General features: G+C 45.5%; 1 protein-coding gene and 1 long non-coding RNA gene across 6 annotated transcripts in view, besides 1 other annotated feature; both read right to left on the minus strand.

Moving 5' to 3' along the window:
- The window catches only part of CACNA1A (calcium voltage-gated channel subunit alpha1 A), a 300,038-nt gene extending 289,544 nt beyond the window's left edge, over positions 1 to 10,494 (minus strand). For all 5 annotated transcript variants that reach the window (NM_001127222.2, NM_001127221.2, NM_001174080.2 and 2 more), the window contains exon 1: positions 9,947 to 10,494. In NM_001127222.2, the coding sequence (NP_001120694.1) occupies positions 9,947 to 10,239 (293 nt within the window). In that variant the 5' untranslated portion in view covers positions 10,240 to 10,494. The remainder of the gene's footprint in view (positions 1 to 9,946) is intronic.
- Positions 11,536 to 12,062: an enhancer, noted in NCBI's record as "H3K4me1 hESC enhancer chr19:13618335-13618861 (GRCh37/hg19 assembly coordinates)". NCBI's record gives its function as "activates a minimal SCP1, AML or CMV promoter by ChIP-STARR-seq in primed H9 embryonic stem cells {active_cell/tissue: H9 hESC(primed)}" and the evidence as "EXISTENCE:reporter gene assay evidence [ECO:0000049][PMID:30033119]".
- LOC107985287 (uncharacterized) lies at positions 22,753 to 24,606 on the minus strand. Its single transcript, XR_001753872.2, has 2 exons — positions 24,181 to 24,606; positions 22,753 to 23,518 (listed from the first exon to the last, which is right to left on the minus strand). It is a non-coding gene; the product is annotated as an uncharacterized LOC107985287 (long non-coding RNA).
- Between the last annotated feature and the right edge of the window lie 301 nt (positions 24,607 to 24,907).

Raw genomic sequence — 24,907 nt, forward strand, 5'->3', positions numbered from 1 at the left:
TTCCTTCCTTCCTTCATCCCATCCATCCATCCATCCACTCATCCATGCATCTGTTCAACCATCCATCCATCCATCCATCCATCCATCCATCCATCCATCCATCCACCCAGACATCCAACACTAACTGCAGAGGATGCCTCCATCCCCTCTAAACCACAAACATCCAGCTATGATCCATAACTTAAAAGACTGCGTTGTGATCAGAAACAGGCCACAAGTCAAAAATTTGCATTCTGACAACTCTTTCAAAGACAACTCAAGTCTCTAAACATTTCTGACCATTCCAATTTGTGTAAGACCCAAACACTCCATGTCCTTGTAAGGCCCTCAGAGAAGCTAACCTATATTTGGTGCTCTGAAGTATTTGATGTCTTCAAAGACGGTGCCCTTAGGGAGAAGGTAAGACTAGAGACAGTATAGTTAGAGGAAGGGGAAGCTGTGGGGAGATTGGAGAGTCTGGCAATGGGGCATAACAAATGAGAGAAAAAGATTAGAAACATGGAAGAAGGATTGCTGAGACGTGGGGAAAATCCTACTTGGGCCTAGGAATCATGGAATTCTAGTATGGACAATCAATGAGACCTTGTGATTGTGTTCTCCTTGGCTTATATATTGGAGCAACAGTGATTCAGCTGATCATTCAGAAGAATGGGTTAACAACACAGACGCCAAAAATAACAGAGATCAAGGGAGTTGAGAGACTTGGCAAGAAAGAGCAGAATATTAACACTTATGCAGCACCTACTGTGTGCCACACACTATTCTCAGCAGTGGATCAGAGAAGCCCAAATATGGCCACCCACATAAGTCCATCCATCTATCCACTCTTCCATGTATAAACACATATAGTGCTTCCTAAGTGTCAGGCACCACTCTAAACATCAGATGTATTAACTCATTTAATCCTCCCAGATAGGAGCTATTAGGATCCCCATGGAGCTATTAGAATCACCACTGGGACAGACTGGGAAACTGAAGCACAGAACACTTAAGTGACTTGCCCAAGATCACGCAGCCAGTGACTAGTAGAGCTGGGATTTGAACCCCAGCCACCTAGCTCCAGAATCCATGCTCTCAACTCAACCATGCTGCTTCTCTACAACCATATCAATTGCCAGTGTCTAAACCACAGGTTCTGACTCTCAGAATACAAGCAGGACCAAGAGCTAACCGGTTGACCCAGCCTCTTAGAGAAAATGATGAGTAAGCTGTGAAATGTCTTAGCTCCTGCCATAAATGCTGATGAATCTCAGCTGATTCTAGGTGAAGCTAGATTTCCAAGTACACAGACTAAAATTAACACCTCGAATTCATTCATTCAAAATTATTGATTCCTTACAGCAGCATTGTTCATAACAGCAAACAAACAAACAATCCCCCACCCCAAACTAGAAACATCCCAAATGCCCATCGTCCTGCTTGAACCCGGGAGGCGGAGGTTGCAGTGAGCCGAGATCGCGCCATTGCACTCCAGCCTGGGCAACAAGAATGAAACTCCATCTCAAAAAAAAAAAAAAAAAAAAAAAAAAAAAAAAAATATATATATATATATATATATATATATATATATATATATATATATATATATATATATAAATTTATGTTGTTAAAGCTGGGTACGGTGGTGCATGCCTATAGTCCCAGCTTCTCGGGAGGCTAAGGCAGGAGGATCGCTTGAGCCTAGGAGGTCGAGGCTATAGTGAGCCATGATCATGCCACTGCACTCCAGCCTGGGTGACAGAGTGAGACTCTGACTCAAAATAAATAAAATAAAATTCATTGAGTTGGCTACTTCACAGGATGATTATATATGCCATGTGCTTTCTGGGTACAGTATCTTTTAACCTTCTTACAATTCCTCGGACATAGGACTACTGTCCCCGTTTTACAGAGGAGAAGACTGAGGCTCCACAACTGTGAGCTGGAGCTGAGATTTGCAGCCAGGGTGGACTGTTCCCAAGCTCTATATGTCTCCCCTCCATCCAATATCACCTTCCCTCCTCTTTTCCTCCTTACAGCCTCCACTGCTTGTGCTGTTAATCAAACAGACACATTCCTATGCAGACGCCACAACATGCCACGAACACATTTCACTGCAGTGATGGTCAGCATAGCCCTCCCACCCACACACACCATGCCCATCATTCTCAATAAAGAAGATAATAAAGATCATGGAGATAAAAGAACGTGACAGACTCTGGAAGATCAGAATCCATGTAACACCACTGCGGGCCAAGTTTTAAGTCTGCCCCAGAGTCTCATTGAAGACAAATCCATCCACTTTTACAAAAAGGTAACATCCAGACTTCGCCCTCCTGCAAATGCTGTTCGTATGAAAATACTTTAAAAATCAGTTTAAAATTACATATATTTTTTACACATAGGCCTAAAATGAGAACAGAACTTAACAGCATGAATATTATTTACTGGCAAGTGGGTGACTAAGTTGGGTTTCCCTCATGGCTTCAGAGAGGGGACTCTTGAATCCTGTTATTTGGGGGCTGGGGGTGGGAGGCTGCTAATTTCTAACTGCAGGTGCCGCCTGAGCAACAGGCACCTTTAAGGAAGACTCACGGCTGCTCCCAGTCTGAACGGCAGATAAAGCCGTGTCTGACCGAAGCGAGATGTCAAAACTTGATCCGGACTTAACTCAGGCATTTCCCTTCATAGCTGGAATCTCTCTTGTATTAGCTGCCTTAAAGACGGCTTCTAAAAGCTGCATTCATTCCAATAAAAAGTCTTGGCTTTTCAGAGGGAATAAGTAACTGACTCTCCCCCTTTCTTGGTCAACGGCACCATCTCTTGCACCATTCTTCTCTCTCAGGTGTTAAGAACTCACCATTAGGGTGACCAGCGTCCCAGTTTGCCCAGGACTGTGAGTTTCCAGAGATGCTAAACCCAGGATAGTCCCAGGCAACCCTGGCTGAAGGGTCACCCTACTCAGATAAGAACTGAGGCCCAGTGGTTTTTGAAACCTAAGTTGCTGTGCCCACTCATGGTTCCCTCGCCAGGAATGTTCCTTGTTTTTCCTATTTTTTTAGGGAGTGAGGAGAAAGAAGACCAAAGTTTGGAAGGGGAGGGGGGTACCTAAATTCTAAACCAAAAGTTGAGCAAAGTTTTTCTGTGGAGTTTGCAGTGGACACCTGGGGTGGCCATCCTGGGCTGCACTCTCGACCGGCCCCAAAGGAAGAGACAGGGAGTGCAAAAGGGGAAGAGGGAAGCTAATTATATACTTTAAAACTCCCTCACCTTGTCACCCACAGAGAGAGGGAGGGACCAAAGGAGGAAAGAGAATTAATTTTTACCTTAGACTCAAGGGAATAGAAAAATGGGTCAAGTGGCCACGAATTTTTTTTCCCCTGAAAGCTTCCAGAGAGAACGGAGAATGCAAAATGTCCAAAGGTGGCTTTAAAGAGCGCCACGATCAGGTTAATCAATCCACACTGACCAGTCGCAGGGGGTGGTGGGGGGGGGCACTTCGCTCCCATTCCCACCCAGAAAGCCTCTTTTCTGGCCGGTTTCCAAAAAAAGAACACTGGAACCTAAATGACTCCATAGTATTACGGCTCTGGCGTTTTGGGGTTTTTCTCTGTGCTGGAGACTGTGCTGGCCATTTTTCACGCACGACCCCATTTAATCTCCTGAGAGCCCTCCAAGGGAGATGCTACTAGAAGGAATATCCTCATCATGCATGTCAAGAAATAGGCTCTGGTGCCCAAGATAACATGGCTGGTGAATAATGTGAACCTGGGCCAGTCTGACCCAGAGTCCGGAGTGTTTTCCCTCTCCTCTCTGCCCTCTTTCAGAGCAGGCACCATCCCATCCGGCCCTTTTCTCAGGAGCTGAGCTGGCATTCTCGGAAATGCGTTACTGCACGGCTCTTAGGCTCTGATCATTTCTGGATGGAGTCCACCTTCCCGGCGGTGCTTTTTATTGCTGAGAAAGTGTATATGTGTGCTTGCTACTGGGGGGGAAACAGGGAGGGGGAAGCATAAGCCCTACGCACCCAACAGATGCCTCCCACTCCAAGTCCCTGAAGAAAGACTTCATTCTCAAGGGGCCGCTGCATCCAATCTACTCAAGCACTAACATTTCAGAAACTTTCATTGGTCTGATAATCTCATGGACAGTCTCTCAACCCCCTGCAACTAAAACCCATCAAAATCCTAAAACGTTGGCACAAGGGTAGATCAGATAGATGTTATACAATTTAGTTAATGGGTGAAGACAGGTACCTTTTCTCATTTGCTCAGCAAACGTTTATAGGACGCCTGCTTTGTCCCACACACTGGGGTTGCAGTGGTGAAGAACAGGGTAAAGATCATGGGTCTCACAGCCTCAGAGCTTGACTTTTTCCTGGGGAATGGTAGAACTACCAGGGAGGGGTGGAACCCCACCCAAGAGAACCCCTTCTTTCTCTCTCTCTAGTGCAGGCACATAGCTTTGAATGACATCCTTAATCTTTCTTATTTCTCTGACCGGGATTTAACACTATTACTTCCACTCCTTTCCATAGATCCACATCCTTAATCCTAAGCCATCGAGGCCAGACGTGCTTTGGAATTCAGAACTCAGGGCTTTTAGACGCATTGCAAAGATGGGAATGTAAAATGGTACAACCACTTAGGAAAACAGTTTGAGAGCCTCTTATAAAATTAAACATACACCTACCACACAACTCAGCAATCTCACTCCTGGGTTAATTTACCCAAGAGAAATGAAATGTATGAAATGAAATGTTCCCACTAAAACCCATAAGCCAATGTTTATAGCAGCTCTATTCATAATCATTGAAACTGGAAGCATCCCAATGTCCTTCGGCTGGGAAGCAAACTCTGGTCCATCCATATCATGGAATCCTGCTCAACACCAAAAAGGAAGGCGCTACTGTCACAGGCAACAGCATGAATGAATCTCAAAGTCTGAGTAAAAGAATCCACATTCAAAAGGCTATATACTGTGAAATTACATTTATATGACCTTCGGCAAAAGGCAAAGCTGTAGGGATGGAGAACAGATCAGTGGTTGAAGGGGCTGGAGAAGTGGGGTGCTGACTCAAGAGGGGCACTGTGGGGGTATTTTAGGGTTGATGAAACTGTCCCATATCTTGATTTGGGTGGTGGCCACAACTACATCCATTTGTCAAAGCTTGCAGACCAGTATGTCAAAAGGGTGAATTTTGCTACAAATAAATTATACATCAATAAATCTATTTTTTTTTTGAGACAGAGTCTCAAAAAAAAGTACAGTGGTGCAATCTCGGCTCACTGCAACCTCTGCCTCCCAGGTTCAAATGATTCTCCTGCCAGCCTCCCGAGTAGCTGGGATTATAGACGCACAATACCACGCCTGGCTAATTTTTGTATTTTTAGTAGAGACGGGGTTTCACCATGTTGGCCAGGCTGGTCTCGAACTCCTGACCTCATGATCCACCGGCCTCAGCCTCCCAAAGTGCTGGGATTATAGGCGTGAACCACCAGACCCGGCCCCTATAAACCTGATTTTTAAGGAAAAGAAAAATGATAACAAGATGTCTCTATGATCTAACCTGGATACTCCAACCCTAGCCCATGAACTTACCACATGGGGAATCCCTAGAAGCTAGCTAGAAAAGCAGAATCCCAGACCCCACCCAAATCCTGCTGGACCAGAACCATCCTGTTAACAAGACAACTTCCATACACCTGAAAGTTTGACAGGACTACAATGCAGACCTAACAGTCAGGAGCTGAAGCAGCACCTCATCATCAAGCACATCTAACATTTCTGCTGCAAAACATACTCAAATGCACACCAAGTAGAATGAATGAAAACTGTAAATTAAGACTTCAAACTGAAGTCAGTTCAGGTTAGGTTTTACCTCTATATGAGCTCGTCTTTTGGTTTTTGGAGCTTTTTGGATTGGGGAATTGTGGATAAGAAATTGCACCCTTTTTGAAAATACTCCCATTGGAAAAGCCGTGCTAAATTTTACTTCGCAGAATTTTGCTCCTCTGGAAATACCAGCCAAGCCGGTCTAGTACAAGGATCACGTAAGTGACACCATCCTGCCCTCTACGGCAGTACCTTCTAGAACATTCTATCTCTCAGGACAGGCCAAGAGTCTGATAACCTGCTCCCATGTCTCCCAGCGCTTCTCATGCAGAAAGTTTCTCTTTAGAGAGCTTTTCTTAAAAAAAAAAAAAAAAAAAAAAATGAGAGGAGTGCCAATCAGCCAATGTCCACAGATGTCAAAGTGATGTCACCTGATGTCAATGTGACTTTAGGTGTCTTGTTAAGATTTCTGCAAACCGGATGAAAAGCTGGAATTCTACGTGTAATTCAGGCAACTGTGCGTGATAATACACTGACCTGCTTCCAGTGTTCCTCCGATGGCCTGAGTTTCTACATCATGTTCAGTGGGAGACCTGGTGGCACAGGGAGGGCTGGAAAGATGACATTCACCTTGGCACTTGGTAGAAGGAGTGAGTGGCATTAAGTGGGGAGGGAACTCTAGGAAGGCTGACAGATGCTCCTTTTTGAGCTGACAGATCTGAGCTCTTCGGCAATCATCAGAGACCCTCATGGCCCTATTTGAATCACAATTCCAGTCAATGAAAACATGAAACCAAGGTGTGTGGTCAAGACGGCTTGCTGCCTGGCATGAGAAAAACACGGCAATGTAAATTTGAACATCAAAGACTTCCATTTGGGTTTCCTCACTTAGGAAGAGGGGAAAAAATGAAATAAATGAGGATTCTTAATTGTCATTGATGGCTTCAAGTTTGACCCACTGAGGGATGAAAGAGGAAGAAATCATAGTGACAAATTGCCCCGAGTGTGGAGAAAGCAAGACTGCATCCTTCACCAGTGTACCATGCCAGAATTTACATTTGGAAGTAGCACTCTTAGGCCCTGTGAGCATACCGACAAGTTCATGGATCATTCACTCACTTCTCTTAAACAAGACAGGGAGGAACCTGCTTTCCATATCGACCTGCAACCCTTAGTCAACACCATTTCCAAATACACATCCCACAACACATGCATCAAAAAGTAGCAGGGGCGATTCCACTCCTATCTAAGAGAACTGTGGGAAAAAAATAATAGAAGACACAAGAATGTTCCCAGTGGCACAAACAGAAATGACACAAATGCCCATCAACAGTAGAATGGATAGATTGTAGTAGAGTCACATACACAGATGTGAGCAAAAGAAGCCAGTGGCAAAAGAACGTACTGTGTGACTCCATTTACATGTTTAAAAGAGGCAAAATGAACCTTAGAAGTCAGGTGAGCGGTACCCTTGTTGGGGGAGCAACTAGGAGGCGGTATGGGGAGGGGGACTTCCAGGGCACTGATCGGGACCTGGGTGCTGGATACGTGGGTGTGTTCATTTTGTAAAAATCTATGCATCTGAATATATGTACTTGCCTGTACATATATTAGACTTTATTTAAGTACCTACACACTTTTTTTTTCACTCTCAGGATATGCTGAAACATTTTTTTTTAATGGCAGAAATATTTAGATTAAAAAGTAGAATGTTCTGCCCTGGTATCGTGACTCTGACATTCCACGTGTCTTTCTCTTTACACTGGCCTGAATTCTTTTATTCACTACCTCCCTCCCCAGGTCTCTGTCCATCCCCTCTCATCTCCAACCCTCCCACCCACCCCGCCACCGCCCTCCGCTCCATCCAGGACAGAGAAAGCTCAGTCCTGGATGACCCAGCTCGATGACAGATTGTGAGGTGGGGAGTTTTCCCTTCCAGAGTAGGGCTGTATAATGTGTTTGTTACCTCGGGTCAAAGAGAACAAAAACAGTCTGCAGAGAGCATAATGCACAAACTCATCATAAGAGCAAGAAAGCCCCGGGCGAGCTGGCCAGAGAATAGATGAAGTGGCAAGCAACACTCGCAATTCACCTGCCTCCCTCTCCCACGATTCCCCCTTCCGAGGGGCCACTGCAATCCCCCTCTCCCCCAACAGCCCTCCAATCTGCAGGATTCAGGCTGGACAGAGGTAAGCTAAGGACACAGCAGAAGGGCTCCCCACCTCCTTCCTTTCCTCTTAGAAGTCTCCAAATCCAGGCTCCAGAAGGCGATCTAAAGCCATTTTCAATGAGGAAACCTGTCAGCCGAGCAAAGCCCTCTCACTCCTGGAGCTAACTGGGTGTGCACCCATGAATACCCTGTCCTCCTGCAAGGCACTCCCACTCCTCACTCTGTTGATAGGCAGAGTAATCAAGCCACCCCTGAGCACTTCAATGGGCCTGGGATGGTGAGGAATTGCTAACCTTAAGAACCAGCCTCTTTAAGAGTCTGAAACTTAGGAAGCAAAGACCTGGCACCTGCTTTGGGCACCAACGGAGATGGCATCGTAGTTAGAGGTATGCTCCCCTCAAAAGCACCTCTGCTGAACTTCTTAATTTTCCCCACCCTCAAAGTAGACCACTCACACACTCCAAAACCTCAGTGCCCTCTGTTGCAATCCCAGCACCCAGGATCCAAGCGCCAGGCTCGATTTTGAACCCCCCTGAAGTGAGTCCCTCTACCACCCGCCATGCTCCTCAAACAGCAACCCCCGGAGACCACACAGGGCCCAGCCCCGTTTAGTCTATAACTGCAAAACCACATACAAAAGGGATAGGGGACTCATCGCTGAGCCCCAGGGACCCATCCAGCCCGTTCATTTTTACACAGAGGGCAGCTGGTTGGAACTGTGCGGAGAAGCGGCACATCTGGGCATGGCACAGTGGCCAGCCAGCCTGGGCAGCAGGGTGTGTCCCCCCTCCTGGAATCTGGGTCATGCTTAGATAACTGCTAGAAAGCCCGACTAATTACCCACCCTTGCCTGCCTACATCTCGATAGATGTTAAGCCCTCCTCAAGGTTTATTTCAAGCAGGCAGGGATTTAAAGAAACACAGAAGATCTGCATTTTGATAGCATCTCCACAGAAGAAAATGTGGGCTTCACCTTTTTCCTCTGGATCTTTGATTAAAAAAAAAAAAATTTAAAAGGCATTTACCTACCTAAGATGTCCACATGGGTGCTGATTCTCCTGGTGTTCCCTCTCGGCTACTCGGGGTAGGAAAAGCTGGACATGGTGCTCTAAAATGGACCCACCACCTCATTTGCTGTTGCCCTGTCTTTCTTACTGAAAGTGTCCAGATCAGGTCTTCCCAGGCCAGGGGCCCAGATAAAGCAAGTGGGATCTCTTTCTCGACACCCCCAAAGATGATGAGGTTCCCCAATCAGCGGTTAAAGGCAATGGGACCTGCACACATGAGGGAAACATAAGCGCCCCCCAGCCCATCACTATCCTCTCCAGATAGGAACAGCGGCCCACCCTGGGGTACTCACTTCGGCCAGTGCTGGCTTCTCAGTGTGAAGGCCACATGGACTCCCTCTTGCTCTTAGCCCTGGGAGCCCCCAAGCGCCCTGCCCTAAAAGTGCGGCGGCCCCCCACCTTGGGGAAAGCAGTAGTGGAGAGGCTGTCCAGCTTCCCCTGCGTGGACTCCAGTGAGCGACGGCCAAGAAAACCCAACCAAGGCCCCCATAGTTCCCCTGCCCTGGCCAGAAGCGCCCAGGCCCGAGCCCGCTCCAAGCTCACTCCGTAGAACTCCAAACCCTCCGGACTTGGCTCGAAAGCCCCCACCAAGGCTCCTGCACGACCCCAGGCCCCAGATCTCATTCTAGAGTCGGTCCTTGGGAAGGATCCACTCTCCGCTGCCCACCCCCCAGCCCCCCACAAACCCATTCCCAAGCCTCCAGGGTAGCTCAACCCAGCTCGGGGTGGAGAGATTCTTTCACACTCCTCCCGGTGCCCCCTCTCCCAGCCCCTGGAAGACCCCCCTCCTCCCCACCTCCCATCAACCCCCGGGTCTCTCTCCCAGCCTGGAAGAGGGGAGGCGGAGGGAGGAGGGGGAGGCGCAGCTGCTGCTGGGGTTCGGGCAAAAGGATATGGCCATTCGGTGATCTTTTTGGCGTATTTTCTCACCACGTTGTCTTCGCTGAAGAGGAAGAGAGACCGGTTAACCGTGAGGCAGTTCTGTCGGACGGGGATGGGGTTGTAGAGTGCCATGGTCCGCGCTCTCTGCGCCATTGACTGCTTGTACATCCTTTGCGCCCCGGGCTGCCCGCCCTGCCGGCTGCCCCCGGCTCCTCGCCCGCCTCCGCTGCCCACGACCACCCCGGCGGCTGCCCCGGAGCCTCCTCCCCCGTAGCGGGCCGGCATCTCGTCTCCGAAGCGGGCCATTCTGCAAAGAGCAAAGGGCTCCGGGTTACGCTGCGGCGAACGATGCGGAAGACGCCGCCGCCGCCGCCGCCGCCGCTGATGCTGAGGCTGCCGGGGCTGGGAGCGCGGCGGCTGGAGCTACGACTGCGGAGACGCTCCACGGCCCAGCCCATCGGGCGGCGGCGGCTCGGCGCCTCGGGTCGGGGGCTCAGAAGGCGGCTGCCCGGGCCGAGCCGGGGATAGCAGCTCGGGACATCTTCCTGGCTGACCCCGGAGAAGGAGGGGCGGGAGGAGGGTGCGGGGGCGGGGCGCGGGGGCCCGGGGAGGAGGGGGGAGGGGAGAGAGAAGCGAGGCAAAAAATAACCGAGGAAGGAATCCAGGCAATCCCCAGTCCACCCACTCCGGAAAAAAAAAAAAAGAGACAGTTAAAAAAAAAAAATCCACCCAACGCACACCCCCTTTAAGACGCGAACGGTTTGCAAAGGACGCCCCCCCCGGGACGCAGTGGAAGCTTCAAATTCCTCCGAGGTCCGGGTCAGGCTGGCATCTTGCAAAAGGAGTGCGCTCGGCCCATTAAAAAAAAATAAAAAATAAAAAATAAAAAAATATATATATATTTAAAAATAAAGAAAGACGAAACCCAGGTCTGGGTGGGGAGGGCAAAAAAAAAAAAAAAAAAAATTAAGTGCCCTTCTGTTTTGCTGGAGTTCCTAGACCTTAAAAATGCTGAAAGATCTGTAGCTCCAAAAATAAAATAAAATAAAAACAAAGAAGATGAAAGGGAAGGGAAAGAGGAGGGAAGGGGAGTAAGACGCTCCAGAGGGTTCCTAAGGAGTCTTCACACCGCAGGGTCCAGGTTTAAAAAAAAAAAAAAAAATTTTTTTTCTTCCTGAATCACCAACGGCTGCCTCTTCTGCTCCCGGAGGAAGTGTGAGTGTGTATGTGCGCACAGCGTTTCGCTCAATGGTGCCTCATCTTGGGGTTAAATTGCAGCAGTGAAATCCTGAAAATTCCCAACAGGGGGAAAAGAGAGAGAGAGAGAGGTATGCGCCCTCCGCTTAGCCACTCAATAGCTGCCCCTGGATGCGGCAATGCCTCTCCACCCTCCAAATCCCTCCACCTCCTCCTTCTCTAGGTTTTGCTAAAATAAGACTGGTGTGGAGGGTTGCGGGTAGAAGAAGGTAAAGAGGAAAAAAAAATGGGCGCAAAGGTCTGAACCACTGGCCAGCAAACGGAAAAGGGGAGCAATTGATGAGTTTAACAGTAGAAGGACCCACCCAGAGTGTCGACACATGAGGGCCCGCGACCAATCGTGGAGGCTCGTGGAGGCGCGGGGGTACCGGGCTCAGCGGAGTTTGTGGGGGAGAGAGGGGAGCGTCGCATGGTTGGGAGGCAGGGAGGGGGGAATTGGGGTGCTTCCTCCTCCCCTGGGAGGAAAGCCTGTTTTCCACCCCGTTCCATTTCGGTTGCAGACAGCCGGACGCTCCCCAGCATCTTGCAAGGAGAAGGCAGGATGGAGGCAGGAAAAAAACTTAAAAGACAGAAAAGAGAAGGGGATTTGTGTCTAGAGGTGCGATTCGTCAGTCTCTAAACAAATTTGCTCTGTTTAGCAAAAGACCATTTTTGAAAGTGGAGAGAGTGGTTTGGGGTTACTTCTGTGAACGTTTCAAATCACAAGGACTCCTGCAAGTTGGAATTAAAGGTTTATTCTACCTTGGAGACCCCAGAGGTGACAAGTCTGAACTCCCAGGAGGAAATAATTAACCAGGTCCTAGTTGGCTGGATAGGGGTTCTGGGTGGTATAGTTTGCTTGATACTCACGTCTCTCCAGAACCACTTTGATTACTTCCCATTCTGCTTTTTGTGTGGTGAAATTCAATAAGCACAAAGAAAAATGCATAAAACATAAAGGTACGGAGTTAAGAAATTGGTCTGAAATGAACACTCATGAAATCAAGTCTAGGGCTAGAAATGGAACATCACCACCTCTGCAGAACCCCCTTTGCCAACACGCTTACACAGCCCCTTATTCCAGCAATAATCGCTACCTGACTTTATGGTATTCATATCTTGCTTTTTTAAAAAAAGTTTGACTACCTTATTATGCGTTCCTAACCAATACAATTTTACTTTGCTTCTTTTGGGCTTTTATATAAATGGAATAATCATATAGTATATATTCTACAGTTTCTTGTTTCTTCGGTTCAACATTATGTCTTTAAGATTCATCTGGCAGGGCACGGTGTCTGCGCCTGTAATCCCAGCACTTTGGGAGGCAGAGCATGAGGATTGCTTGAGGCCAGGGGTTTGAGACAAGCCTGGGCAATATAGCAAGACCCTGTCTCTCCAAAAACCTTTTTTAAAATAAAAATTAACCAGGCATGGTGATGTGAACCTAGTCCCAGCTACTTAGGAGGCTGAGATGGGAAGATCCCTTGAGTCCAGGATGTTGCAGTGAGCCAAGATCAAACCACTGCCCTCCAGCCTGGGCAACAAAGTGAGACTCTGTCAAACAAAACAAAACAAAACAAAAACAAACAAACAAAAAAAACAAGATTCATACATCCTAATCTGTTTCGAATTTTAGAAAAATTCACCTGTTTGTTGTCACACATGGCTGTGATTCATTCACTTTCACTGCTGTATAGTATTTCATCAAGAGAATATGCCACAATTTGTTTATCCATCATCTTGTTGATGGGTATCTGTTTTTTTTCCAGTTGGGGCTATTAAACATTACTGCCTCAGGTACCTTTGGTGCAGATAAGAATGCATGTCTCTAGGAATAGCCTTAGGTGTGGAATGTCTGGGTCCACAAGGTATTCATATCTTCAAGCTTATAAGATGTCATCAAACTGTCTTGCAAATTCAATGTACCAAGAAACCATTGAATTTTCATGGAGCTTGTATACGCAGAAAGGCCAAATGGAGAGGAATGGGAAAAGGATGAAAAAGGCAAATATTCTTTCAAGCCTTAGCTAGTTAAATCCTAGTTAATTCCCTTCCCCCCTCGCCACCCCACACACACATATCAATATTCGAGTTCTTTTGGAACACTCTGGAAAGATGATATGTCTTTATATAAAGTCCCCGTTCTGTGCCAATGCACCAACTATTATACATTGCCCCATAGCACTTTCAAGATTTTCTAACTTGTCACGATATGGATGAAATGATTAAACCAAGAGTGATTGGAATTGCAAGGAGATAGAATTGTGTGGGATTCAGGGAGAAGGAGGGGCTTTTAAGGCGCTCACCAAATATCAGTGATTTTTGTACTTGACATTGTTTCAGATATAAAAGGTGAACAGCAACTAATATGAAACAAGAAGCGAGCCCATGTGTTCAGATGGGAAGAACCAGTCATATGAGAGGAGCTGAGTTGAACTTATCATTTGTTCTGATGGACCTCTCTGAGAAGATTATTCAGTTTTAGAGCAGGAGCATTACCTGCATAGATCTGTGAAGACCCCAGAGTTTTTCAGGAAAGAGTGACATCTCACTGATGGAGCTCCTGCCAGGGTAAATCTCCCACTGAGTCTTCACAGCAGCCCCGTGGAACAGATGCAAACACTGAGGGTGAGGGAGACTTAAAAACTTTCCCAAGGTCACTAACGTGGATCTGAACCCATTTCTGACTCTTGTATTCTGTTGGACAGAGGGGAATTTGGTACAACCACTTTGGAAAACCGTTGGCTGGGTGCAGTGGCTCACATCTGTAATCCTAGTATTTTGGTGGGCAGAGGCAGGAGGACTGCTTGAGCCCAGGAGTTCAAGAGCAGCCTGGGCAACATAGTGAGACCCTGCCTCTACAAAAGGAAGGAAGGAAGGAAGGGAGGGAGGGAGGGAGGGAGGGAGGGGGGAGGGAAAGAAAGAGAGAAAGAAAAGAGAAGAAAGAGAGAAAGAAAAGAAAGAGAAAGAAAGAAAAGAAAAAAGAAAAGAAAAGGTCAGGAAATAAATAAATTAGTTGAGCATGGTGGTGCATGCCTATAGTCCCAGCTACTGGGGAGGCCAAAGTGGGAGGATTGTGTGAGCCCAGGAGTTTGAGGCTGCAATGAGCCAAGATCATGCACTCCAGTGTGGGAGACAGTCAAGTCTCAAAAAACAAACAACGACAACAAACACATAAAAAGAAAAACTTTTTGGTCATTTCTATTAACATGGCCATTTGAGTATCCTATGACCCAACAATGTCACTCCTGGGTATACACCCAGGAGAAATGAGGATATATGCCCTAGAATGTGCAGCACTATTCATACTTGCTAAAAGTTGGAAATTTCCAAAATACCGTAATGGATAAATACACTGTAGAACATGGAATTTTATGCAGCAATAAGAAAGGACAATATGGAGCTACACACAGGTGCATGGATGAATTTTACAAACTCCATGCTGAACCCAAGAAGACAGACACAGAACAGAACATGGTGTATAATTCCTGTTATATAAAGTTTAAAAAAAAATGGTGCACACCTGTAGTCCCAGGTATCCTGATTCCCAGCTACTCTGGAGGCCAAGACAGGAGGATGGCTTGAGCCCAGGAATTCGAGGCTTGCAGTGAGCTACATGATCTGTGCTCCAGCCCGGGCGACAGAGTGAGACCCAATCTCTTCTTTTAAAAAATTAAATAAGTAAATAATAACATTAAAAAATGAGCAACACTGATCACCTTTAGAAGTCAAAGGAGTAGTCGCTTTGAGGGTAAAGGGATACATTCTGGAAGCATCTCCATCTGGGTGACAGTGGCATGGGTGTGCTCACTTTTTAAGTTTTGTTCATTTTGTACCTTTTCACTGAGCTGCACGTGACTGATTTGTGCAGTTTTGTGTGTGCTGCCTACTTAAATAAAAAATATTTGTAGGCTGGGCATGGTGGCTCAAGACTATAATCCCAGCACTTTGGGAGGCCAAGGTGGGCAGATCACCTGAGGCCAGGAGTTCGAGACCAGCCTGGCCAACATGGTAAAACCCTGTCTCTACTTAAAATGCAAAAATTAGCCGGGCATGCTGGTGCATGCCTGTAATCCCAGCTACTCGGGAGGCTGAGGCAAGAGAATCACTTGAATCCAGGAGGCGGAGGTTGCAGTGAGCTGAGATCATGCCACTGCACTCCAACCTGGGTGACAGAGTGAGACTCTGTCTCAAAAAAAAAAAAAAAAATTCGTGATGCTCCTGAAGTACAGCCCAAGCAGCACCACTTGTCATGATGATTTGTGATTGTTCTCTTTGCACACTTTGACCATGAAGCCCCTATACAACAAAATCAGACATCTTTACTGGAGGACAAAGAACAGTCCTCCAGGATGCCCCAAACCGTGCCTAGGCAGCAGAGAAGCTGGCTGTGTACAGAACTGCCGGCAAAGTGTTGTGAACATTCAGATTCCTGAGCCATCCCACACTCTCTTTTATTTATTCAGCATGTCCCTGGGGTATAGCCAGTTTTGGCAACCACAGCTCTGGAAGGGGGCAAACTCACCATCTCTTTCTTGGCATTCTCTAGTGTTATCAAAGGAGGTGCTGTTGGCATTTTCGGTGCAACACTTGTTGCTCTTCAGGGCTGTCCTGTGCATTGCGGATTGTTTAGCCTTCTTGGCAAATGCCCACTAAATGTCAGTAGCATCCCTAGTCATGTGATAACCAGACATACCCACATACATTTGCAAACACCTCCTCTCACCTGCCATCAAGGTGACAGAAGAGTCTACACTTTCCTCTCACCAAATGGCATTTCCAAAGTTTGCCTGACTACGAAGTTTGGTGTGCTGGGGTTCTCCTCTCCTTCCTAGGAATCTTCTCAAGTCCTTCAACCCCCAATTGCTCAATACCTCTTTTCCAGAAAGAACTTAACTCATTTACTATAAAGTGTGGCAGGGCTCCATGTGCATTATCTTATAGATTCACTTTGCAGACATAACATTTCTGTAGCCAAAGGAATGAATCTCTAACACCAGAATCTTACCTATCACCTAGCAAATGGGAATGGATGGGCAAGAAGTCATTGCAGCCTCCTCAAATGACTGTAGTAGGTAGTTCCTGGACCCCCACTAATACAAATTACTAATGTTGACCAGGTAGAAAGATTTAGAATGTTATTAGCGTTGCAGACAGAAGCAGTTTAACAGCAGGCAGCCAGAAACCAGCCCCAACCATTGGTTCTAATCTTTAACACATCTGCCAGCTGGAGGTTTAATTTATCAATCAGCAGCAGCATTACTATACTGGCTTTAAGAATGTTATTCAATTGAACGGGGCTAGCATCTTTGAAATAAATGCCCCAAATAAATAACTGCAAATCGCATTCATTTGACTGCTAAAACAATTATCAGCAAATCTAGTCATGTTGAGTTGCAAAAATGGATCGGCCAAAAGACATTTGGTCTCTGCCTTCTGGTCTGGATACCCATGGGGAATGAGTATCAAGATCTTTGGGAGGTGGAGGATAAAAATGACAAAGCCAAATTTGATCATCCAGACATCTACGGGTCATGATGTAGGCACCCAAGAGTGAATTCAGAGACGGAATGTGGCTGCGACTTTGGGCATTACATTGCATAGCAGCATGTGCTCTGCAAGCTTCCAAAAACGAATGAGGCAAAGCCTAATTCTGGACACAGACCTGGTTTCAAATCCTAGCTCTCGAAATTCCTAGTAGTGTGCATTTGGAAAGGTGCTTCCCCTCTCTCAACTTCAGCTTCCTCAATAAAATGAAGACAAGACTCCTTACCCTACAGGTTGCTATAAGGATGAATTAAGATCAAGCAGAGGCCAGGTGTGATGGCTCATGACCATAATCCCAGCACTTTGGGAGGCTGAGGTGGGTGCATCACTTGAGCCTAGGAGTTCGAGACCAGCCTGGGCGACATGGTGAAACCCCATATCTACTAAAAATACAAAAATTATCCCGGCATGGTAGCACACGCCTGTAGTCCCAGCTACTCAGCTACTCAGGAGGCTGAGGTGGGAGGATCACCTGAACCTGGAAGGTTGAGGCTGCAGTGAGCTGTGATCATGTCACTGCATTCTAGCCTAGGTGATGGGGTGAGACCCTGTCTCAAAAAGAAAACAGACAAACAAACAAACAAAAATCAAGCAGATAAGCCCTCAGCATAATGACTAGCATACATATTATATAAGAATTCATGGTAAGTAGATTTTTAAAAAATCACCATAGTCGGCCGGGTGCGGTGGCTCATGCCTGTAATCCCAGCTCTTAGGGAGGCCGACGTGGGCAGATCACGAGGTCAGGAGATCGAGACCATCCTGGCTAACACAGTGAAACCCTGTCTCTACTAAAAATACAAAAAATTAGCCGGGCGAGGTGGTGGGCGCCTGTAGTCCCAGCTACTCGGGAGGCTGAGGCAGGAGAATGGCATGAACCCGGGAGATGGAGCTTGCAGCGAGCCAAGATCATGCCACTGCACTCCAGCCTGGGCGACAGAGCGAGACTCCGTCTCAAAAAAAAAAAAAAATTCACCATAGTCAATCTTCCAGACCTGAAATTTGTGAATATCACTGACTAAGATTGATTAAATATTACCTTATTTTTAACTTCTTAAATAAACATTTTATTTTGGCATAATTTTAGATTTACAGAAAGTTTGAAAACGTAGTACAAGAGAGTTATCATTATGCCCTTCACCCAGCTTCCTCTAATATTGACTTTTTTTTTTCTTTGAGACAGGCTCTCACTCTGTTGTACAGGCTGGAGTGCAGTGGCACAATCACGGCTCACTGCAGCCTCGACTTCCTGGGTTCAAGCGATCCTCCCACTGCAGCCTCCTGAGTAGCTGAGTAGCTGAGACTACAGGCATGTGCTACCATGCTCCGATAATTTTTGTATTTTTAGTAGGTATGGGGTATCACCATATTGCCCAGGCTGGTCTCTAACTTCTGGGCTCAAGCGATGCACCCACCTCGGCCTCCCAAAGTGCCGGGATTATGGTCATGAACCATCACACCTGGCCTCTGCTTGATCTTAATTCATCCCTACAGCAACCTGTAGGGTAAGAAGCCTTGTCTTCATCCCTAGTAGCTGAGACCACAGGCACAAAACACCATACCAAACTAATTTTTTTTTCTTTTTTTTTTTCTTTTTTTGAGACGGAGTCTTGCTGTCTCCCAGGCTGGAGTGCAGTGGCGCGATCTCGGCTCACTGCAGGCTCCGCCCCCCAGGGTTTATGCCATTCTCCTGCCTCAGCCTCCCGCGTAGCTGGGATTACAGGCGCCCGCCACCTCGCCGGGCTAATTTTTTTTTGTATTTTTAGTAGAGACGGGGTTTCACCGTGTTAGCCAGGATGGTCTTGATCTCCTGACCTCGTGATCCTCCCGCCTCGGCCTCCCAAAGTGCTGGGATTACAGGCGTGAGCCACCGCGCCCAGCCCCAAACTAATTTTTAATTTTTTGTAGAGACAGGGTCTCACTCTGTTGTCCAGGCTGGTCTCAAACTCCTGGGCTCAAGCAATCCTCCCACCTTGGCCTCCCAAAGTGTTGGGATTACAGGTGGGAGCCACTGTGCCCAGCCTCATTTTGTCTCCTTAGTCTCCTCTGATCTGTTTCTTCGTTTCTCACAACCTTAATAATGTCTAGGAGTACTGATCAAGTACTTTGTAGAACGTCCCTCACCTTGGGTTTGTCTGTTTTCATGATTAAACTGGAATAATGGATTTGAGAGAAGACCATTGCACAGAGGTGCAGTGCCGTTCTCTTTGCATCAGATCAGGGTGTAAGATAGTTACATGACTTACCATTAGTGATGTTAACCTCGATCCCTTGGTTAAGGTGGTGTCTGCCAAGTTTCTCCACCATCAAGCTACTGTTTTTCCCAATACCTACTCTACCTTCTGAACAGTCACTAAGGCCTACCCACATGAAGTGGAGGAAGAGGGATAAATATCCCCTTCTGGACTGGGAAGTATCTATCCGTATTCTTTAGAATTCTTTCATAAGGAGGCCGGGCACAGTAGCTCATGCCTATAATTCCAGAACTTTGGGAGGCTGAAGCAGGCAGATCACTTGAGCTGAGGAGTTCGAGACCAGCCTGAGCAACATAGTAAAATCCCATCTCTACAAAAAATAACAAAAATTAGCGGGGCATGGTGGCACTCGCCTGTAGTCCCAGCTACTCTGGAGTCTGAGATAGGAGGATTTCTTGAGCCCAGGAGTTCAAGGCTGTAGTGAGCTATGATCTTGCCACTGTACTCCAGCCTCAGTGACAGAATAAGACCGTATTTCTGAAGAAAAAAAAAAAGTTATATATGTAGGCAATTTGGCAACTACCATAAAAACATACAAGAACTATCAGGGGATAATGAAAGTTTGAGGGATAACAGATCATTTACATAGTGTCAGAGTATCTTCCCAAAGACAACTGTTAATTTTAATGGTCAAAACAGTAACCTGATAGTGGAGCACCCTGGCAGATAAGCAAGTGACGGGCAAATCACGTGCCTCCTAGAATGACATACCAAGAAGGCTGCAACATCGCTTCTAGGAACTTCTGCCAAAAATGCATGATTTGAATAATTGGTAAACAACCATGTTCAGATTAAGGGGCACTTTATACAATAAGTATTCTTTGGAAGTGTTAATGTCGTGAAGCCCAGATAAAGACAGAACAACTGGTCCAGAGTAAAGGAAATGTGACTGACCAAATTCAACAAGTGAGCCAGGACCTCCTTTTGCTACAAAGGACGCTATTGGAACAATTGGTGACATCTGAATAAGATCTGTAGATTACATAATAACAGTGTTCATATGCTAATTTCCTAATTTTGATCATTGTGCTGTGCTTATGTAAGAGAATGCCCTGTTTTGGGAAACACACTGAATTATATAGGGTTAAAGGGCCATGATATCTACAAATTACTCTCAGTGGTCAACGGTTGGGGTAAGGAGAGAAAGAGAGAGAGAGAGGATAAAGTAAAGTGTAAGTGGTAAAATGTTAACATTTGAGAAACCTGGATAAGTGATATAGGCGACTTCTTTGTACCAGTCTTACAACTTTTTGGTAAATCTGAAATTTCAACAAAATAAAAAGTTAAAATAAATGAGTGGCTACAAAAATTGCAGAGGCACAAGGTTCATTCATTCTCCTGACTGTATGGAACATCTGCCATGTGCCCAGTAATTTTGCCAGCACAGAACAAGGCAGACAGAATTTCCCGTTGTCGTGGAGTTGAATGGAGATGAGGAATAAATAGAGTAAATAATAAGGAAAATACATAGTATGTCAGATGAGGCTAAGTGCTAAGGAGAGAAACAAAGCAGGAAAGGGAATAGAGGGTGCTGCCATTGGGAATTAGAGTCAAATGCGTCTCTGAAACAGGTTTTGTTATGCAAAATAGCAGCCCCCTGCCTCCCTCCATGTTTCATATCCCCCTCCTGAAAGATACTCACTATCAACACTTTTCGCTGATTTTTTTTTCTTTTTTGAGAAGGAGTCTTGCTCTGTCACCCAGGCTGCAGCGCAGTGGCACAATCTTGGCTCACTGCAACCTCCGCCTCCCAGGTTCAAGTGATTCTCCTGCCTCAGGCTCCCAAGTAGCTAGGCTTATAGGCACCCACCACCACACCCGGCTAGTTTTTTGTATTTTTGGTGGAGACGGGGTTTTGCCATGTTGGCCAGGCTGGTCTCAAATTCCTGACCTCAAGTGATCTGCCTTCCTCAGCCTCCCAAAGTGCTGGGGTTACAGGCATGAGCCCCTGAACCTGGCCACCTTTTGGCTGATTTTAAAAATCATTATGGATATATAATAGTTGTGCCTATCTATGGGGTATATGTGACATTTTGATACAAGCATACAACGTGTAATGATCAAATTAGGGTGACTGGGATATCCACCACCTCAAGCATTTACCATTTCTTGGCTATTATTAAAAAGTCAAAAAATAACAGATGCTGATGAGCTTGTGGAGAAAAAGGAATGCTTATACACTGTTGTTGGGAGTGTAAATTAGTTCAACCATTGTGGAAGACAGTGTGGTGATTCCTCAAAGACCTAAAAACAAAAATACCATTACACTCAGCAATCCCATTACTGGGTATATACCCAAAGGAATATAAATTGTTCTATTACAAAGACACATGCACGCGTATTCATTGCAGCGCTATTCACGATAGCAAAGACATGGAATCAACCTAAATGCCCATCAACGGTAGACTGAATAAAGAAAACATGGTACATAAATATCCTGGAATACTATGCAACCATAAAAGAACAAGATCGTGTGTTTTGCAGGGACATGAATGGAGCTGGAGGCCATGATCCTTAGCAAACTAATGCGGGAACAGAAAACCAAATACCGCATGTTCTCACTTATAAGTCGGAGCTAAATGATGAGAACACATGGACACATAGAGGGGAACAACACACACTGGGGCCTAATTGGAGGGTTTAGTGTGGGAGGAGGGAGAGGATTAAAAATATAACTAATGGGTACTAGGCTTAAGACCTAGTACCCAGATTACAGGCGTAATCTGTTACACCTGTAATCACAGCACTTTGGGAGGCCAAGAAGGGCGGATCACCTGAGGTCAGGAGTTCGAGACCAGCCTGGCCAACATGGTGAAACCCCATCTCTACTAAAAACACAAAAACTAGCTGGGAGTGGTGACAGGTGCCTGAAATCCCAGCTACTCAGGAGGCCAAGGCAGGAGAATCGCTTGAACCCGGGAGGCGGAGTTTGCAGTGAGCCGACACGGTGCCACTGCACTCCAGCCTGGGCAACAGAGTGAGACTCTGCCGCGAAAACTAATAATAATAATCTGTACAACAAACTCCAGGACACAAGGTAACCTATATAACAATCTTACACATATACCCCCTGAACTTAAAAGTATTTTTTAAGAAAGGATTTACCATTTCTTTGTGATGGGAACATAAATTATTGTTACCTATAGTCACCCTATTGTGCTGCCAGGCACTAGATTTTATTCCTCCTATCTAACTCTATTTTTGTACCCATTAATCATTTCCTCTTTATTCCACCCTCCCCACTACCCTTCCCAGCTTTTGGTAACTATCACTCTACTCTCTACCTCCATGACTTCTTTTTTTTTTTTTTTTTTTTAAGCTCCCACATATGAATGACAGCATGCGATATTTGTGTTTCTGTGCCTGGTTCCCTTTAGCTGATTATTTTGCTATTTACTACCATATTATTTATATTGGGTTTTTGTTTGTTTGTTTCAGAGATGGAGGTCTCACTCTGTTACCCAGGCTGGGGTGCAGTGGTGCAATGTCAGCTCACTGCAGCCTCAAACTCCTGGGCTCAAGTAATCCTCCCACCTCATCTTCCTGAGTAGCTAGGACTACTGATGCACACCTCCACACCTGGCTAATTTTATTATTTGTTTTTGTAGAGGTAGTGTCTTGTTGTGTTGCCCAGGCTGGTCTCGAACTCCTAGTCTCAAGCAATCCTCCTGCCTCAGCCTCCCAAAGCACTGGGATTACAAGTATGAGCCACCACACCAAGCCCCACATCGTTCATTCACTTACTTCTTTCTACTTTTAAATTTTTCAGTTTTAGTCATTATTTATTTGTTCCAACACTATTATTTTATTCAACTAATATTTCTCAAACTGACCACATACTATGCGTAGCATACTATGCCAGCCACTACAGATAATATAGAGAAGCATTAACTATCAAAGAGCTTATAGTTAGGTTGGGAAAACAAGTCGTACACTTGTGAATATTTAAGTAGTATTAAGAAATAGCCAACAGCAATACCCAAGGATATTATAATGAAAGCAACAAAGAAGTATCCTGTCTGGGTGTTGTAGCACTTTATAGGTATTAGCTATAGAAAAGGAGGATTTTGCTAATTTCTCCCTCCATCCCCCTACACATGGAACTTTCCAAAACCTGCGCATTTGCCCAATATTGTTCTTTCACAAAGTGAGGAAGATTCGGTGTTTATATTATCATGTACAAGGCAAGTTACAGTTATGTCATGAACAAACTATAGCTACTTTTTCTTTACAACATATTGTTTCCCTTGGGACTTATCATTTTTTAATCTTCTTTGTTTGGTACTTATTGCAAATTTGACCCCCCAAGTCTCTTAACAGGTATTCAGTTCATTTTATCATCCAGAAGCAGTCTTTCCTGAAGACTTGTCACATGGTCTAATCAGGACTTTCCCTGGCATACAGCTTTCATCCTGGGCTCTCTCTTTATCATCATCCAGGAGATTCCCTTTGCTTCTCATTGTTGGATTTCTTAAGTCCAGTGTTCTCTGTTTCCCTCTTCTTGGTTTACTCCCTTGTTTGGGTGAAGCACATCCTCTGGTAGCTTCCTAAGAAAGGATGCATGAGAGGTTTTCCAGTTACCTATTGCTGCATAAAAACCAGCCCAAACTTAGTAGCATAAAACAGCAACATTCATTTTTATTATCACATTTTGTGATTTGGGTGGTCAACTGGGATCATCTGAGTGGTTTTCACTTGGGGTCTTTCATGCAAATACAGTCAGATGGCGAGAGGGACTAGGGTCATCTCAAAGGCTTCCTCAGTCACAGGGCTGGAACTTAGGCTGGAAAGACTCAAACAACTGAGGTTTCTCAAGCATCTATCTCCATTTCTATGTGGTATCTCCACATGGCATCTCCAGTATGGCAACTTCAGGATAGCTGAACTTCTCTTATGCCAGTTCAGGACTCCAAAGGCACATGTCTCAAGGGAGAGAGCCAGGCAGAAGCTGCATCTCCTTTTATGAGCTAACCTTGGAAGTCACAAAGCATCACTCCTTCCCTACTCTATTAGTTGAATCAGTCACAAAGGTTCACCCAGGTTCAAAGGGAGAGAATATAGATTCCAATCCTTTATGGGGAAGTGATAAAATTCTAAGCAAGTGTAAAATGGGAGCCATTGTGCAGCCATTTTTGAACAGTCTAATCTGTCTCAGGAAGTAAATATTGGAGACTTCTATGTATGAAATGCTATTGTTTTAGCTTTATACCTCATTGGTAGTTTGGCTGGGTATAGAATTCTGGTTTGGAGATCATTTTACTTCAAAAATGTGAAGTATTGCTCCAACGTATTCTCAATTCCAGTATTGCTGTTGGGAAGTTTGAAGCATTCTTACTCCTGATTTCTTGTATATGACCTCATTTTTTTTCTCTAGTAGCTTTTAGAATCTTTTTCCATTGTGTTCTAAAATTTTATTATGATGTAAGTTAGTTTAGGTCTATTTTCAGTCATTGTACTGGGCACTTAGTATGATGATTGTTACCCCCTTTTTTTAGAGACAAGGTCTTACTTTGTCACATAGGCTGGAGTGCAGTGGTGTGATCATAGCTTATTACAGCCTCGAACTCTTGGGCTCAAAACAGTCCTCCTACCGCAGGCTCCTGAGGACTATAGGAGTGTGCCACCACACCCAGCTAAGATTCTCACCCTTTTTTCATGATTCTCTTTTAAACTTATTATTTAGATGTTGGACTTTCTGGACTGATTCTCTTATCTGTTCCTTTCCTTCTATTTTGTATTTCCATTGTGTCTTAATCTTCTTTTTGAGAGATTTCTCTAATTTTATCTTTCCACCTTTTGTTCAGTTTTTTATTTATGCTTTTATATTTTTTAATTTCAAGAGGCTTTTGGTATTGCTATAATTGTTCTCTGAGTGTTCCTTTTCCATAGTATTCTGCCAACAGCCACAAGTTTAAGCTTGAAATCACATCTTCCCC

This window comes from Homo sapiens, chromosome 19 (genome assembly GCF_000001405.40).
Source record: "Homo sapiens chromosome 19, GRCh38.p14 Primary Assembly".
Lineage (NCBI taxonomy): Eukaryota > Metazoa > Chordata > Mammalia > Primates > Hominidae > Homo > Homo sapiens.